The sequence below is a fragment of the Homo sapiens genome, chromosome 2 (assembly GCF_000001405.40).
Source record: "Homo sapiens chromosome 2, GRCh38.p14 Primary Assembly".
NCBI lineage: Eukaryota > Metazoa > Chordata > Mammalia > Primates > Hominidae > Homo > Homo sapiens.
Window position 1 is genome coordinate 218,510,975 of NC_000002.12, and position 16,820 is coordinate 218,527,794.

The window sequence follows — 16,820 nt, forward strand, 5'->3', positions numbered from 1 at the left end:
ACAAAGTGAGAAGGCATCTCCAAAAAAGAAAAAAAAAAGTTTTAATTTTTACCAATAAGGAGACACTTGATCTCACTGTTATTTGATTTTGCACTGTCCTGATTACTACTGAAACTAACATATTCATATAGTTGTTTACTCTTTTCTGAATTGCTTTCCTATAGAGTAGGTCTTTTTTTTTTTGAGACAAAGTCTTGCTCTGTCACCCAGGCTGAAGTGCAGTGGCGTGATCTCGACTCACTGCAACCTCCACCTCCCGGTTTCAAGCGAGTCTTGTGTCTCAGCCTCCCAATCCCAAGTAGCTGGGATTATAGGTGTGTAACACCATGCCCAGCTAATTTTCTTTTTTTTGAGATGAAGTTTTGCTCTTGTTGCCCAAGCTGGTGTGCAATGGCGCAATCTCGGCTCACTGCAACCTCCGCCTCCCGGATTCAAGCGATTCTCCTGCCTCAGGCTCCCGACTAGCTGGGACTACAGGCGTGCGCCACCACACCTGGCTTACTTTTTGTATTTTTAGTAGAAACGGGGTTTCACCATGTTAGCCAGGCTGGTCTCGAACTCCTGACCTCAGGTGACCTGCCCGCCTCGGCCTCCCAAAGTGCTAGGATTACAGGCGTGAGCCACCATGCCCAGCCTAATTTTTTTGTATTTTAGTAGAGAAGGGGTTTCACCATGTTGCCGAGCCTGGTCTCAAACTCCTGAGCTCAGGCAATTTGCTCGCCTCAGCCTCCCAAAGTGCTAGGATTACAGGCGTGAGCCACTGCATCTGGCCCACATTCTAATTTTAAAATTTTTATACTGGGAAATTTATCAATTTTTTCTTTTCTTTTTTTTTTTTTGTATCTCGTTTAAGATTTTTGTATCTTGTATTTTGTTTAAGAAATCATCTTGTACCATAAGAGCACAGAAATTTTTTCCTGTATTTTCTCTTAACAGTTAAATTTTGCTTTCCCTTCTATTTAGGTCTTCAATACAGTTATAAGTGTCTTTTTCTGTATGTTGTGAGGCATACTTTTCTATAAGATTTACTTTTCTGTAAGGCAAACCAATTGTTCCCAAATTACTTATTGTTTGTCTAAGCCATGTGTTAGTGGCTGTTTGGTTTGGTACTTAAAAAAAATGTGTAGGCCAGGCACAGGTGGCTTATGCCTGTAACCCCAACGCTCTGGGAAGCTGAAGCAGGAGGATCAGGAGTTTGAAACCAGCCTGGTCAACATATCAAGACACTGTCTCTATTATTTTAAAATTAAGGCTGGGCACGGTGGCTCACACCTGTAATCCCAGCACTTTGGGAGGCCAACGGAGGCGCATCACCTGAGGTCAGGAGTTTGAGAACAGCCTGGCCAACATGGAGAAACCCTGTCTCTACTAAAAATACAAAAATTAGCCAAGCGTAGTGGCGCACACCAGTAGTCCCCAGCTACTTGAGAGGCTGAGGCAGGAGAACTGCTTGAACTTGGGAGACAGAGGTTGCAGTGAGCTGAGATCATGCCACTGCACTCCAGCCTGAGGGACAGAGAGAGACGCTGTCTCAAAAAAAATAAAAAAAGTTAAAAATTAAAAATAAATTGCGAAATAGAATACTCACATGGGAAAAGTGTATAAAAATCAAATGTGGAGCATAACAAATTTTCATAAAACAAACACTTGTGTAAATAACCTTATTAGTGTCTAAACCCCAAGTTCCCCTTCCAATTACAACTCTGCATTCCTCTAACCTAAAAGTCGGCATTATCTAAAAGTTTTATCCCTTACTACAAACCCCTAAATATTGTACTTTGGATAATATGTGATGTATCTATTTTCATCTTGTTTTCAACCTTTCTGCATCTTTATATTGTAGTTGTTTCTCTTTTACATAGCACATACATTTTCTTCTTCCATTAAATCCTGTGTATACTTTAACTGGAATATTTAGTACATACTCATATAAATTTTATATAAATTTAGTATATTTGTATCAGTAATGTCAGTACTGATTTGGGTTATTTCTTGAATTTTATGATGCATTTACTATTTGTTCTACATGTTCTATGTTCCTTTTTCTCTCCTTTATGCCTTCTTTTAGAATGTTTAACTATTTATTTCATTGTCTCCCCTCCGTTAGTCTGGAAATAATATAGGCATATATATATATATATTAACTCCTGGGCTCAAGCATTCCTCCCATCTCAACTTCCCAAGTAGCTGGGACTATAGGCGTGCACCACCATGTCTGGCTAATTTTTGTATTTTTTTGAAGAGATGGGGTCCCGCTATGTTGACCAGTTGGTCTCAAATTTCTGGGCTCAAGTGATACTCTCATCCTGGCCTCTCCAAGTGCTACGATTACAGGCGTGAGCCAACCATGCCCAGTCTAGAAATTTAATGGATGTCCTAAAAATTATATTATGCATTAAAAGTAGAAACAGCTTTACTGAAGTATAGTTGACATACAATAAAATGCACACATTTAAAGTGTATAACTTTAAGTTCTGACATATATACACTCATGAAATCATCACCAGAATTAAGATAGTGAACATATCTATTACTCCCAAAAGTATCCTGGTGCCCGTTTGTATCCCTTCCTCCCACTCCTCTCTGCCTGTGACCTTGTCTCTGTGACCAGGCAACTACTGATCTGTTTTCTGTCACTATAGATTACATTTTCTAAAATTTCATATAAATGGAATCTTACAATATGCACTTTCTTATGAGGTCTTTTACTCAGCCTAATTATTTTGAGATTCATCCATTCTGCTGGGTGTATAAACAGTTCATCCTTTCTATTGCTAGACAGCATTCCATTGTATGAATATACCACAATTTGTTTAACCACTTACTTTCTCTTTTGAAATAGTTTTATTTTTTGAGACAGGGTCTCACTCTGTTGCTCAGGCTGGAGTACAATGGCGCCATCGCGGCTCACGGCAACCTCTGCCTCCCAGGCTCAAGAGATCCTCCCATCTCAGCCTCCCAAGTAGCTGGGATCACAGATGCACATCACCACGCCCTGCTAATTTTTTTTTTAACTGTATTTTTGGTAGAGATGAGGTTTTACCATGTTGTCCAGGCTGATCTTGAACTCCTGAGCTCAAGCAATCTACCTGCCCTGGCCTCCCAAAGTGCTGGGATTACAGGCGTGAGTCACTGCACCTCGCCTGAAACAGTTTTAGATTTACAAAAAAGTTGCAAAATGGCTTTCACCCAGCTACTCCTAATATTAGAATCTTATATAACCATAGTACAATGACCAAAACCAGGAAATTAACAATGATACAATACTATTAACTAGTAACCTACACATATTATTCAAATTTCATCAGTATTTTCACTAAAGTCCTTTTTCTGGCCCAGGATCCCACAGTGCAAGTAGTTGTCATGTTTCTTTACTCGTACAATCCTCAATTTCTTCTTTTTTTAATGGCTTTGACAATTTTGAAGAGTAATGGTCAGGTATTTTACTTTATTTCCTTCAACTGGGTTTGTCTGATGTTTTTTCATGATTGGATTGAGGTTATGCATTAGCAAACAATAACAGCTAAGTGACATTGTGACCTCCTCAGTGCATCATATCACAGAGTCTATAATGACAATGTCTTATTACTGGTGTTGGTAATCTTGATTTCTTGGTTAAGGTATCTTCTGGGTTTCTCTACAGTGAAGTTTCTATTTTTCCTTTTGTAATTAAGAAATATAGGGAGATACTTTTGAGACTATGCAAATACCCTGTTTCTCATCAAACTTTTGTCCACTAATTTTAGCACCCAATGATACATTTTGACTGCAATTATTACTGCAGTATTTGATTAAGGTAATATTTTATTCCTACAACCCTCTGAAATTCTTAATTGGAATTCTTCTGTTAGGAGAGCTCTTCAGTCTCTACACATTCATTCATTCATTTCAGTATGGACTCAGACATATTTATTTTTTTTCTATAGGTTTAATCCAATATTATCATTTCGTAACTATAATTGTTCTAGTTTGGGCCATTGGTAACCCTTTCAGGTTGGCTCCTGTGTCTTTCGGACATTTCCTCATACTTTTTTGTGCATATCTTTACTTTCTGGCACCACAAGATGTTATAGACTGATCTTGCATTTTCCCTGCTCTAGCCCTGGAATCAACTATTATTTCAAGGAGCTCTGCTTTCTTGTACTGAATAATGGTATTTAAAAATCAGGGTCTGCAAGCTACCACTGACTTTCTTCACAGAATTAGAAAAAACTACTTTAAATTTCATAGGGAACTTTTTTTTTTTAAGAGCCCGTATAGCCAAGACAATCCTAAGCAAAAAGAACAAAGCTGGAGGCATCACGCTACCTGACTTCAAACTATACTACAAGGCTACAGTAACCAAAACAGCATCGCACTGGTACCAAAACAGATATATAGACCAATGGAACAGAACAGAGGCCTCAGAAATAACACCACACATCTACAGCCATCTGATCTTTGACAAACCTGACAAAAATAAGCAATGGGGAAAGGATTCCCTATTTAATAAATGGTGCTGGGAAAACTGGCTAGCCATATGCAGAGAACAGAAACTGGACCCCTTCCTTACATCTTACGAAAAAATTAACTCAAGATGGATTAAACACTTAAACGTAAAACCTAAATCCATAAAAACCACAGAAGAAAACCTAGACAATACCATTCAGGACATAGGCATGAGCAAAGACTTCATGACTAAAACACCAAAAGCATTTGCAACAAAAGCCAAAACAGACAAATGGGATCTAATTAAACTAAAGAGTTTCTGCACAGCAAAAGAAACTATCATCAGAGTGAACAGGTAACTTACAGAACGGGAGAAAATTTTTGCAATCTATCCATCTGACAAACATCCAGAGTCAACAAGGAACTTAAACAAATTTACAAGAAAAACCAAACAATCCCATCCAAAAGTGGGTGAAGGATATGAACAGACACTTCTCAAAAGAAGACATTTATGCGGCTAACAAACGTGAAAAAAAGCTCGTCATCACTGGTCATTAGAGAATGCAAATCAAAACCACAATGAGATACCATCTCATGCCATTTAGAATGGTGATCATTAAGAAGTCAGGAAACAACAGATGCTGGCGATGATGTGGAGAAACAGGTATGCTTTTACACTGTTGGTGGGAGTGTAAATTAGCTCAACCATTGTGGAAGACAGCATGGCGATTCCTCAAGGATCTAGAACCAGAAATATCATTCGACCCAGCAATCCCATTACTGGGTATATACCCAAAGGATTATATATCATTCTACTATAAAGACACATGCACACATAAGTTTATTGCAGCACTATTTACAATAGCAAAGACTTGGAGTCAACCCAAATGCCCATCAATGATAGACGGGATAAATAAGAAAATGTGGCACATATACACCATAGAATACTATGCAGCCATAAAGAAGAATGAGTTCATGTCCTTTGCAGGGACATGGATGAAGCTGGAAACCATCATTCTCAGCAAACTAACACAGGAACAGAAAACCAAACACTGCACGTTCTCACTCATAAGTAGCAGTTGAGCAATGAGAACACATGGACACATGGAGGGGAACATCACACATGGGGGCCTGTCAGGGGATGGGGGGCAAGGGGAGGGAGAGCATTAGGACAAATACCTAATGCATGCAGGGCTTAAAACCTAGATGACAGGTTGATAGGTGCAGCAAACTACCATGGCACATGTATACCTATGTAACAAACCTTGCACATTCTGCATGTGTCCCAGAACTTAAAGTAAAATAAAATAAAATAAAAAAATCAGGGTCTGGCACTAGGGTGCTCATAGTTACTTGGGTGCAATTGCTTCAAGGTACCCCCCCTAGTGGACTGAGCTAGGAAATGTATGTACGTGTGTAACCCAAGACATACAAATGCATGTATGTTTATTTTGAATCAATCTATACATGAATTTACATATATAAAACCTTGAGTTCATATTAACATCTCTGATTCTAACTGAACACCAAAGGTTCATACTAGCTTTCTTCCTTTCCTTATTTCTTTCTCTGACATTGCAAGCCTGGATCTCAGTATCTACAATGTTTACTTGTTCAATCCAAGTATACACATGAGGTGGTTTCAGAACTGCTAACCCTACACCCCTGTGAGAAACAAATTATGAACTAGAGTACAATATTTGTGTACTCATGCATTTTTGATATATTGAAGTCTAATGTAGCTGACTCTTTTACCTTCTCCTGGATAATGAAAGAAACTAGGAACAATTTAACTCCATTTAATTATTCTGTGTCTTCCTTCACTTCTGGTTTATATGTTATTGTTGTCATTTAAACCCAACAAGATATTACTATTGTTTTGTATAACAGAATTTATCAAGATAGACAGCATATTAACTTTTTGTTGCTCTTCATCCTTCCTGAAGCTCCAACCTTTAATCTGAGTTCTTTTTCCATCTGCCCAAAAACTTCTTTAGCATTTCCTTTAGTACATATTTGTGGGTAAACTCTGTTATTATTTTGTTTTGTATGATAGTGTCTATTTCACCTTTACTTCGAAACTATAGGATATTTTCACAGCAAATAAAATTCTATGTTGGCAGTTATTTTATTTCTGCATATTGAAGATATTTCTGGCTTCTACAATTGCTATAGAAAAGTCAAAGGTCAGATATTTTTGCTCCTTTGAAGCTGAAATGTTTTCTCCCGGTTGCTTTTGAGACTTTGTCTTTATTTCTAGAGTTTCACTATGACATGCCTAAGGGTAGGTTTCTTTTTCTCAATCCTACTTGGTATTCATTAGGCTTCTTAATTCTAAAGTCTGATTTTATCACTTTTGGAAAATTCTCAGCCAATATCTTTAAATACAGTTTATACCCCAATGTCCCTCTTCTTTGAGACTTTAATAAGACACAATAGACCTTTTAACTATATTATGTCTCTTAACACTCTCCTGTATTGTCTTTTTCATGTTTTATTCTAGAGCCTCTTCTGAGTCATCGTTCAGATCACTAATTCTCTCAATTACTATTCCCCCCACCCCTTTTTTTTGAGATAAGGTCTCATTCTGTCACTCAGGCTGAAGTGCAGTGACATAATCACAGCTCATTGCAGTTTTGACCTCCTGGGCTTGAGCAATCCTCCCACCTCAGCCTCCCAAGTAGCTGGGACCAAAAGTGCATGCCATCATGCTTGACTAATTTTTAATTTTTTTGTAGAGACGAGATTTCCCAATGTTGCCCGGGCTGGTCTCAATTATGTTTTATGCTGGAAAAAAAATCCAAAACAGATTTGAGTTTTTGTATTTTTCATTTCTAGATTTTCTATTTGATTTTTTTAAATCTGTGATAATTTCACAGTTTAAGGTTTTCTACAGAAATTTCCTTTATTTCTTTTGATGTGTTAAATATTGTTCTTTTATAATCACTGACTCATTAATTCCAGAATATGTGGAGCCCTGTGGTCCACTGCCGATCTAAACTATTTCTTCTAGTAATAATTCATGTTGACCTGTCTTGCTGCATGTCTGGACACTGAACAGTATTTAATCAAATCTAAGATACAACCAATTATAAGACATAACATTTATTTCAGGTAGTACTAAGAAAGAAAAAACAATGTCAACCAAAGTATATAATGACTTCTATGGCTTAGAATTTTTACTTCTTACTGGAAGCTTTTTATGTAACTAGATACACATTTTTATCATGTTGCTCTTATACAAAAAGGAAAATATAAAACCGGTTAAGATATTTCTAATAACTCACATTCAGAATCTGAATCTTCTGAATCATTTTTCCCACCCAGGGTCATAGATTTTTCAGTTTTTCCAAAAAGTGCTGCTACCTGTGCTACTAAAAACAAAGGTGATGTTGTATTTCTTCTTTCTTTCTTTTCTTTTTTCTCCAATTAAGCCCACAGTGTGATGATGCTGCATTTCTAGATAGTAAATAGTGCCACACTATGTCTCCGGGAGTTTCCTTCTAAGCCAATGACATTCATTTGGCAAGGTCTAATACTGAGGTTATCTTAATCTTACCAAAAGAAGCCCACAGATTTTCAGATCACAACTAGAATTTGCTGCCCTTTCTTAAGTGGTCATTTTAAGTGGTCTGACTAAAAAATATAGTTTTTCAGTAATACCACAAATGACAACCAAGTCTGCTAATGTGCAGGTAATGCCAACTATGTTACAACTGCCTCCTGGCAGCAATTTAAGATGTCACAATATCTGATATACTTCCATTGTAAATACTAATGTGAAAAAATGTACATCTAAGAATTATAGAAATATGTTGAGGTGTAGTAGGAAAATGTCTTCCCCCAGAGAGAATTTTCATTTAGTACATTTATTATGTCAATCATCTAGGATACTAGCCACTTATAATCAACTTAATTAAATTTCAGTGCTTGCAATAACTGGGCCATACAGATTAATAAAATTCACAGAAAGGCTGGCTTACTTCTAGCTCATCCTTATTCCCAGAGGGAACCCTTCAGTACACACTGAAATATGTGGAGTAATGTACTAGGCTCCCTATATTGGTAGGTCCTAGCCTCTATTGTCCTTCTAGACTCATGAGTGTGTCAAAAGCACTGCTTGGTCTTTCAGCAATCTCTTCTGGTTCAGCCAACGTGCTTGGGAACTCTGGATTTCCTCCTCCCTTCTCGGTTTGGTAATTCCTCACACTCCTATCAGTTTTTTCTTGTTTGTTTTTTGTTTTTTTTTTCTGAGACACAGTCTCCCTCTGTCCCAGGCTGGAGTGCAGTAGTGGCGGGATCTTGGCTACTCGGGAGACTGAGGTAGAAGAATAGCATGAACTGGGGAGGCAGAGGTTGCAGTGGCTAATTTTTGTATTATTAGTAGAGACGGGGTTTCACCACGTTGGCCAGGCTGGTCTTGCACTCCTGACCTCATGATCCACCCACCTGAGGCTCCCAAAGTGCTGGGATTACAGGCGTGAGCCACCACACCAGGCCTCCTGTCAGTTTTTCAATGCTCTGAAAATTCCTGCATTATTTTTTTCCTTTATTTGAAAGAGTTTTGCTCTGTCACCCATGCTGGAGTACAATGGTGCGATCTAGGCTCACTGCAATCTCTGCCTCCCGGGTTCAAGCAATTCTCCTACCTCAGCCTCCTGAGTAGCTGCGATTACAGGTGTGTGCCACCATGCCTGCCTAATTTTTGTATTTTTAGTAAAGACGAGGTTTCACCATGTTGTCCAGGCTGGTCTCGAACTCCTGACCTCATGTGATCCACCCACCCACCTCAGCCTCCCAAAGTACTGGGATTATAGACATGAGCCACTGAGCTTGGCCAATTTTTTCTTTTAATTTTTATATTTGTTAATTTTTTTTCAAAGTTAACAATTCTTTATTATCATCATCTAATACCTGACTCATATTTAAACCTTGCCAACAGCTTTTTTTTTTTTTTTTTTCCAGAGACAGAGTTTTGTTCTTGTTGCCCAGGCTGGAGTGCAACGGAGCGAACTTGGCTCACTGCAACCTCCACCTCCCAGGTTCAAGCGATTCTCGTGTCTCAGCATCCCGAGTAACTGGGATTGCAGGCATACGCCACCACGCCCAGCTAATTTTTTTGTATTATTAGTAGAGATGGGGTTTCTTCATGTTGGTCAGGCTTGTCTCAAACTCCCGACCTCGGGTGATCGGCCCACCACAGCCTCCCAAAGTACTGGGATTACAGGTGTGAGCCACTGTGCCTGGCCCTTGCCAACAGTTTTACAAAAAAGTGTTATTCCCAGTTTATTCTTACCAAGATCCAACCAAAGTCCATATATTACATTTGGTTTTTATATCTCTTAAATCATTTATAACCTTTAAGAGTGCTCTCCTGACTCCCTGCAACCTTTACTTGACATGACATCAACTTGGTGAAGAGAACAGGCCAGCTGTCCCTCAGAATAGCTGATATAGTTTGGATATTTGTCCCTGCCCAAATCTCATGTAAAATCATAATACCCAATGTTGGAGGTGGGGCTTGGTGGAAGGTGATTGGATCATGGAGGTGGATCCTTCGTGAACACTTTAGCACTATCCTGGTGCTAAACTTGGTGCTGTTCTCCTGATAGAGTCCTCATGAGATCTGGTCATTTAAAAGTGTATGGTACCTCCCCCTTCTCACTCTCTTCCTCCTTCTCTGACCATGTGAAGTGCTGGCTCCCACTTTGCCTTCTGCCATGATTCTAAGTTCCCTGTGGCCTCCCCAAAAGCTGACGCTGCCATGCTCCCTGTACAGCCTGCAGAACTGTGTGTCAACTAAACCTCTTTTCTTTATAAATTATCCGGTTTCATGTATTTCCTTATAGCAATGTGAGAACAGACTAATACAATAGGCTACTTTCAGATTTTGTCCATGCATTCCTTGCCTTTAGATCTAGAGATTTTATTTTTTAAATTTTACCTCAAGTTCTGGGATACTGTACAGAATGTACAGGTTTGTTACATATAGATGTGCCATGGTGATTTGCTGCATCTATCAACCCACCATCTAGGTTTTAAGCCCCGCATGCATTACATATTTGTCCTAATGCCCTCCCCTCCCCTTGCCCTCCATCCCCCAACAGGCCCTACTGTGTGATGGTCCCCTCCCTGTGTCCATGTGTTCTCATTGTTCAACTGCCACTTATGAGTGAAAACATGCAGTGTTTGGTTTTCTGTTCCTGTATCAGTTTGCTGAGAATGATGGCTTCTAGCTTCATCCATGTCCCTGCAAAGGACATGAACTCATTCTTTTTTATGCCTGCAATATTTGTTCATTTTTTCCCCACCTGACTAAAAAGTCTGGATCCTACACTAATTTTTAATTTCATCTGTACCACAATCCAAGTAGTCCCCATATATGCACAAGATTGTTTCTGGGTCTTTATTTTGCTCCAGGGATTAAAGATTAATTCTAATGCATCCCCTGTAATAATCACCACCACTTAACGTTGTCTTTTCCAGTTTTGAGACAAGGTCTTGCTCTGTTGCCCAGGCTGGAGTGCAGTGGCGTGATCACAGCACACTGCAGCCTCGACCTCCTGGGCTCAAGCGATTCTCCTACCTTAGCCTCTTGAGTAGCTGGGGCTACAAGTCCATGCCACCACACGTGGCTTTTTTTTTTTTTTTTTTGTAGAGACAGGGTCTCACCATGTTGCCAGGGCTGGTCTCAAACTCCTGAGCTCAAGCCATCCTCCTGCCTTGGCCTCCCAAAAGTGCTAGGATTTATAGGGGTGAGTCACCACACCGCACCAACATTAAGTCTTAATATCTGGCCATTCAACCCATCTTCTTAGGCCTTCTTCAAAATTATCTTGGCTATTCTTATAAGCTTACTTATAAGAAATAGAATTTAAGGCTGAGCACACTGGCTCATGCCTGTAAGCCCAGCACTCTGGGAGGTCAAAGAGGGAGGATTGCCAGAGGCAAGGAGTTTGAAACCAGCCTGGCCAACATAGAAAGACCCCATCTCTCTCTTTTTTTTTTTAATTAGCCAAGCACGGTGGCACACACCTGTAGTCCCAGTTATTTGGCAGGCTGAGGCAGGAGGATTGCTTGAGCCCAGAAGTTAGAGTCTGCAGTGAGCTAGGATTGTGCCACCGTACTCCAGCCTAGGTGACAGAGGCAAACTCCACCACAAAAAAAAAAAAAAAAAGTTTAGATTCTTTTTTTTTTGTATGGGCGGGGGTTCCACAAAAAGTACTTTGTGAGACTTCAACTGGAACTACCTTAAATTTTTTTATTAATTTGGGGATAAATGATATCCTTGAGCTTTGTTTACTTAGGTCTTCCATTATGTCCCTTAGTAATCCTTTTCTTCATAAAAATACATATTTTATTAGATTTATTCCTATCTATCTCACTGATTTTGTAGTTCTTATAAATAGTACAGGTTGAGTATCCCTGAAATGCTTGGAAAGAAGAGTTTCAGGGCCGGATGCGGCAGCTCATGCCCTGTAATCCCAGCACTTTGGGAGGTCAAGGCGGGTGGATCACCTGAGGTCAGGAGTTTGACACCAGCCTGGCCAACATGGTGAAACCCCCTTTCTACTAAGAATACAAAAATTGGAGCTGGGCGCGGTGGCTTACGCTTGTAATCCCAGCACTTTGGGAGGCCGAGACGGGTGGATCACCTGAGGTCAGGAGTTCGAGACCAGCATGGCCAACATGGTGAAACCCCGTCTCTACCAAAAATACAAAAATTAGCAGGCGCCTATAATCCCAGCTACTTGGGAGGCTGAGGCAGGAGAATCGCTTGAACCCGGGAAGCGGAGGTTGCAGTGAGCCAGGATTGTGCCACTGCACTCTAGCCTGTGGGGCAAGAGCGAGACTTCGTCTCAAAAAAAAAAAAAGAATTTCAGATTTTGAAATATTGTATTTGTATTACGCTGGTTGATCATCCCTAATCTGAAAGTCTTAAACACTCCAATGAACATTTCCTTTGAGCATGACCTTTTGTGCATTATATCAGCACTCAAAAAATTTCTAATGAAACTTGGAACATTTCAGATTTCAGATTTTTGGATTAGGAATACTTAATCTGTTTTCTGTTACAGTTTACATTTTATTATTGCTGGATTTAGAAACACCATTAATTTTGTGAATTGATCTTGTATTCCAGAAACCTTATAAAGCTGTTTTTTGGCGGGGGGGTCTTTTTTCATCCTTTTTCTGTGGAGAACAGGATGTTACTATGTTGCCCAGGCAGGTCTTGAACTCCTGGGCTCAAGCTATCCCCCTGCCTTTGCCCCCTTAAGTACTGTGATAATAGGTGTGAGCCACTGAACCCGGCCTAGAGCACTTTAATTTGTTTTAATAACCTCTGGTGATTCTCTTTGTGTTAAATATTTAACAGATCACACAGTCTGCAAATTATGACAATTCTGTTTTTCCCCTTTCCAATCCCCAAACCTCTTTATTTCATTTTCTTGTCCTACTGCATTGGCTAAAACCTTCAGAACAATATCACCCTGTTCTTGACTTTGATGGGAATACTTCTCAAAGTTTCATAATTGTAATGTGATTTAAGTTTTTGACAGATAACTTTTTATCAAACTAGGAACATAATGCTCTGTTCCTAATATGCTAAAAGTAGGTATCATCAATGGCTATCAAATAGTTTTAAAAATCTACCACAATCCCAAAAGAGTTTTCTAATGTTTACTTTTGCATTTCTGGGATATACCCTACTCAGTCACTGTGTATCATTTTCAATGCCCTATTAGATTCAACTGTTAAAATTTTATTTTGGATTTTTCTGTGTTCATAAGTGAAAAACTATAATTTTCTCTTCTCATATTGCTGTTACAAGGTTTTATTAAATTCCTAGATTAGTTATGTAGCCTTTCCTGTTTTGTAGAGATGGGGGTCTTGCTATCTTGCCAAGACTAGTCTTGAACTCCTGGATTCAAGTGATCCTCCCACCTAGTCCTCCCAAAGTGCTGAGATTATAGGTGTGAACCACTGCTCCACTCCCAGCCATCTTTAACTTTTTAATATGTCTATGTAATTGCAGCCTCCTCTGAAACTAAAGCTTGAAATATTTTAATTTCCCTGAATCTTCTCCACTCCTGTATTTCTTTTGTCCAATGTTTTATTAAGTATTGGCTTTTAATCCAACAACATCCTCCTTTGATAGAAAATATCAAGACGTATTTACATACATAAAATAACCCTGGAAGGATGTTATTTTATTTTATTTTTTAGATGGAGTCTCGCGCTGTCACCCAGAATGGAGTGCAGTGGCGCGTTTTCGGCTCACTGCAACCTCTGCCTCCTGGGTTCAAGTGATTCTCCTGTCGCAGCGTCCTGAGTAGCTGGGACTACAGGCACGCACCACCACGCCTGCCTAATTTTTGCATTTTTAGTAAAGACAGCGTTTCGCCATGTTGGCCAGGCTGGTCTCGAACTCCTGACCTCAGGTGATCCACCCGCCTTGGCCTCCCAAAGTACTGGGGTTACAGGCGTGAGCCACCATGCCCGGCCAGAAGGATGTTATTAATAGTAACAGTGGTTATGTCTCAAAAGGGAAAATGAAAACTAGGAGTTAGGAAAGAAAAGAAGATCTTCTTTACTGTATACACCCTATGTCATTTGAATTTTCTACCACATTCACTTATTAGCTAAAAGATAAACTTTAAAAACATTTAGATTAAAAAATATACTTTAAAATTGTTTTTATTCACTGATTTTTCTTATCACTCCTTCCTTGTTCAGTTTTCTTTTTGATGAATTAATTCTATCTGTCTTTGCACATCTGAAAAATAACATTCTTGGTCAGGTGCAGTCGCTCGTGCCTGTAATCCCAGCACTTTGGGAGGCTGAGGCAGGCGAATCACTTGAGCCCAGGAGTTTGAGACTAGCCTGGGCAACATGGTGAAACTCCGTGTCTACGAAAAATACCAAAAAAATAGCCAGGTGTGGTGGCACACACCTGTAGTCCCAGCTACTGGGGGGGTTGTGGGTGGGAGGATCACCTGAGCCCAGGAGGCTGAGGCTGCAGTGAGCCATGATTATGCCACTACACTCCAGGCTGGGTGACAGAGTGAGACCCTGTCTAAAAAATAAATAAATAAATATTGCATTCTTTGTCTATATTCTTGAAATATAATTTAGCTAGGTATAGAAGTTTTTGATACTGTTACTCTGCTAATAATATCTAACTATCTGCTTCCTATTCCAATAGTGTTAATGTCAATCTGATTTCTCCACTTTTATAGAGGATGTATTTTCTTTCGGGTAGCTTCTAAAATTTTACAATATAAATTTTTTTCTAAGTTTTATTTTAAGTTCAGGGGTACATGTACAGTTTTGCTGCATAGGTAAACTCGTGGCATGGGGGTTTGTTATACAGATTATTTCATCACCCAGGTATTAAGCCTAGTACTCATTAGTTATTTTCCCCAATCCTCTCCCTCCTTCCATCCTCCAACAAGCCCCAGTGTGTGTTGTTCTACTCTATATGTCCACGTGTTCTCATCATTCAGCTCCCACCTATAAGTGAGAACATGCAGTATTTGGTTTTCTGTTCCTGTGTTAGTTGGTTAAGGATAATGGCCTCCAGCTCCATCCATGTCCCTGCAAAGGATATGATCTCATTCTTTTTTTATGGCTGCATAGTATTCTACGGTGTATATGTATCACGTTCTTTATCCAGTCTATCACTGATGAGCATTTAGGTTGATTCCATGTCTTTGCTATTGTGAATAGTGCTGCAGTGAACATATACATGCATGGGTCTTTATAACAGAATGGTTTATATTTCTTTGGGTATATACCCAGTAATGGGATTGCTGGGTTGAATGGTTATTTATTTATTTTTTTTTTTGAGACAGTCTTGCTCTGTTGCCCAGGTTAGAGTGCAGTGGTGCAATCTTGGCTCACTGCAACCTCTGCCTCCCAGGTTCAAGTGATTCTCCTGCTTCAGTCTCCTGAGTAGCTGGGATTTATAGGCACCTGCCACCACGCCCAGCTAATTTTTTTGTATTTTTAGTAGAGATGGGGTTTCACCATGTTGCCCAGGCTGGTTCGAATGGTATTTCTGTCTTTAGGTTTTTGAGGAATGGCCACACTCTCTTCCACAATGGTTGAACTAATTTACACTCCTACCAACAGTGTATACACATTTCTTTTTCTCCACAACTTCACCAGCATCTTTTTTGACAAAATGTGGATTTTTTAAAAAGTATTTGTTGTTTGGTATTTTTTGAGGCTTTTCGATGTGAGGACTTTCACCATTTTCATTTATTACTTCTTTGCCAATTTCCTTGCCTTTATTTTCCTTAGTCTTTTCTTCCAGAATACTGTTAAGACATGGAGGGTACACCAAGAAGACCAACGTAAGTTTCTTCATTTCATTTGCTTTTTTTTTTTTTTTTTTTTTGGGACGGAGTCTTGCTCTGTCGCCCAGGCTGGAGTGCAGTGGCGCGATCTCGGCTCACTGCAAGCTCCGCCTCCCGGGTTCACGCCATTCACCCGCCTCAGCCTCCCGAGTAGCTGGGACTACAGGCGCCCGCCACCACGCCCGGCTAATTTTTTGTATTTTTAGTAGAGACGGGGTTTCACCGTGTTAGCCAGGATGGTCTCGATCTCCCGACCTCGTGATCCACCCGCCTCGGCCTCCCAAAGTGCTGGGACCACAGGCGTGAGCCACCGCGCCCGGCCTGCTTTTATCATCTCGGTTTCCTTGCTATATTCCACGATCAAGCCTTCTTGACAAGGACTTAGTAGTTACTTCTGCCTGGCCGTCTACCCTGCATAGGACTTTAAATGGTCATAATTCTGGCCCCATGCAGGTAACAGTAAAGCAGAGGCTAATCATTGTTGTCCCATTTTCATGTCTTTGCACTCTACTCAGGGAGTAGGAAAGCAGCATATTTACAGTTCCAACCCCAAGCACTTATACACAAGTGTTCCACTCTGGTTTACTAGCTCAAAGAGCTATTCTAAACACCCAGCTTCTTATGAGAAAACAAGTTCTAAGTTTTACATTTAATTTACATTTAGTTCCCAATCTCGTGCTGGTTTGAAGTCCCAGCTATTGACACCTGGCTCTCGTTTGTGTTCTCCACATTCCTTACCGCTTTAGCCTTTGCACACTATTAGTTTTCTCACCAATCTGGAAATTTTCACCTTATCTCTCAGTGCAGCTTTGCACTAAAAAGATTTCTTTCCTCAATCATTCCTATATGGAATGAATATGTCCATTCTATTATTTTGAGAAGAATTTTGTATGTAGGAAATCATTTGCAAACCAAATGTAGGCTTTTTTAAAACTTAGATTTAAGATTCTTCTAATAAGCAGAAATATGTCAAACTTCCTCTCTCCTAAATTCAAATAACTTAATTACCACTGTAATCTATAAAGTGCT

The 16,820-nt window shown here is 39.7% G+C and overlaps 1 protein-coding gene across 1 annotated transcript in view; it reads right to left on the reverse strand.

Moving 5' to 3' along the window:
• USP37 (ubiquitin specific peptidase 37) overlaps positions 1-16,820 on the reverse strand; it is a 118,101-nt gene that overhangs the window by 60,724 nt on the left and 40,557 nt on the right. The window lies entirely within an intron of this gene.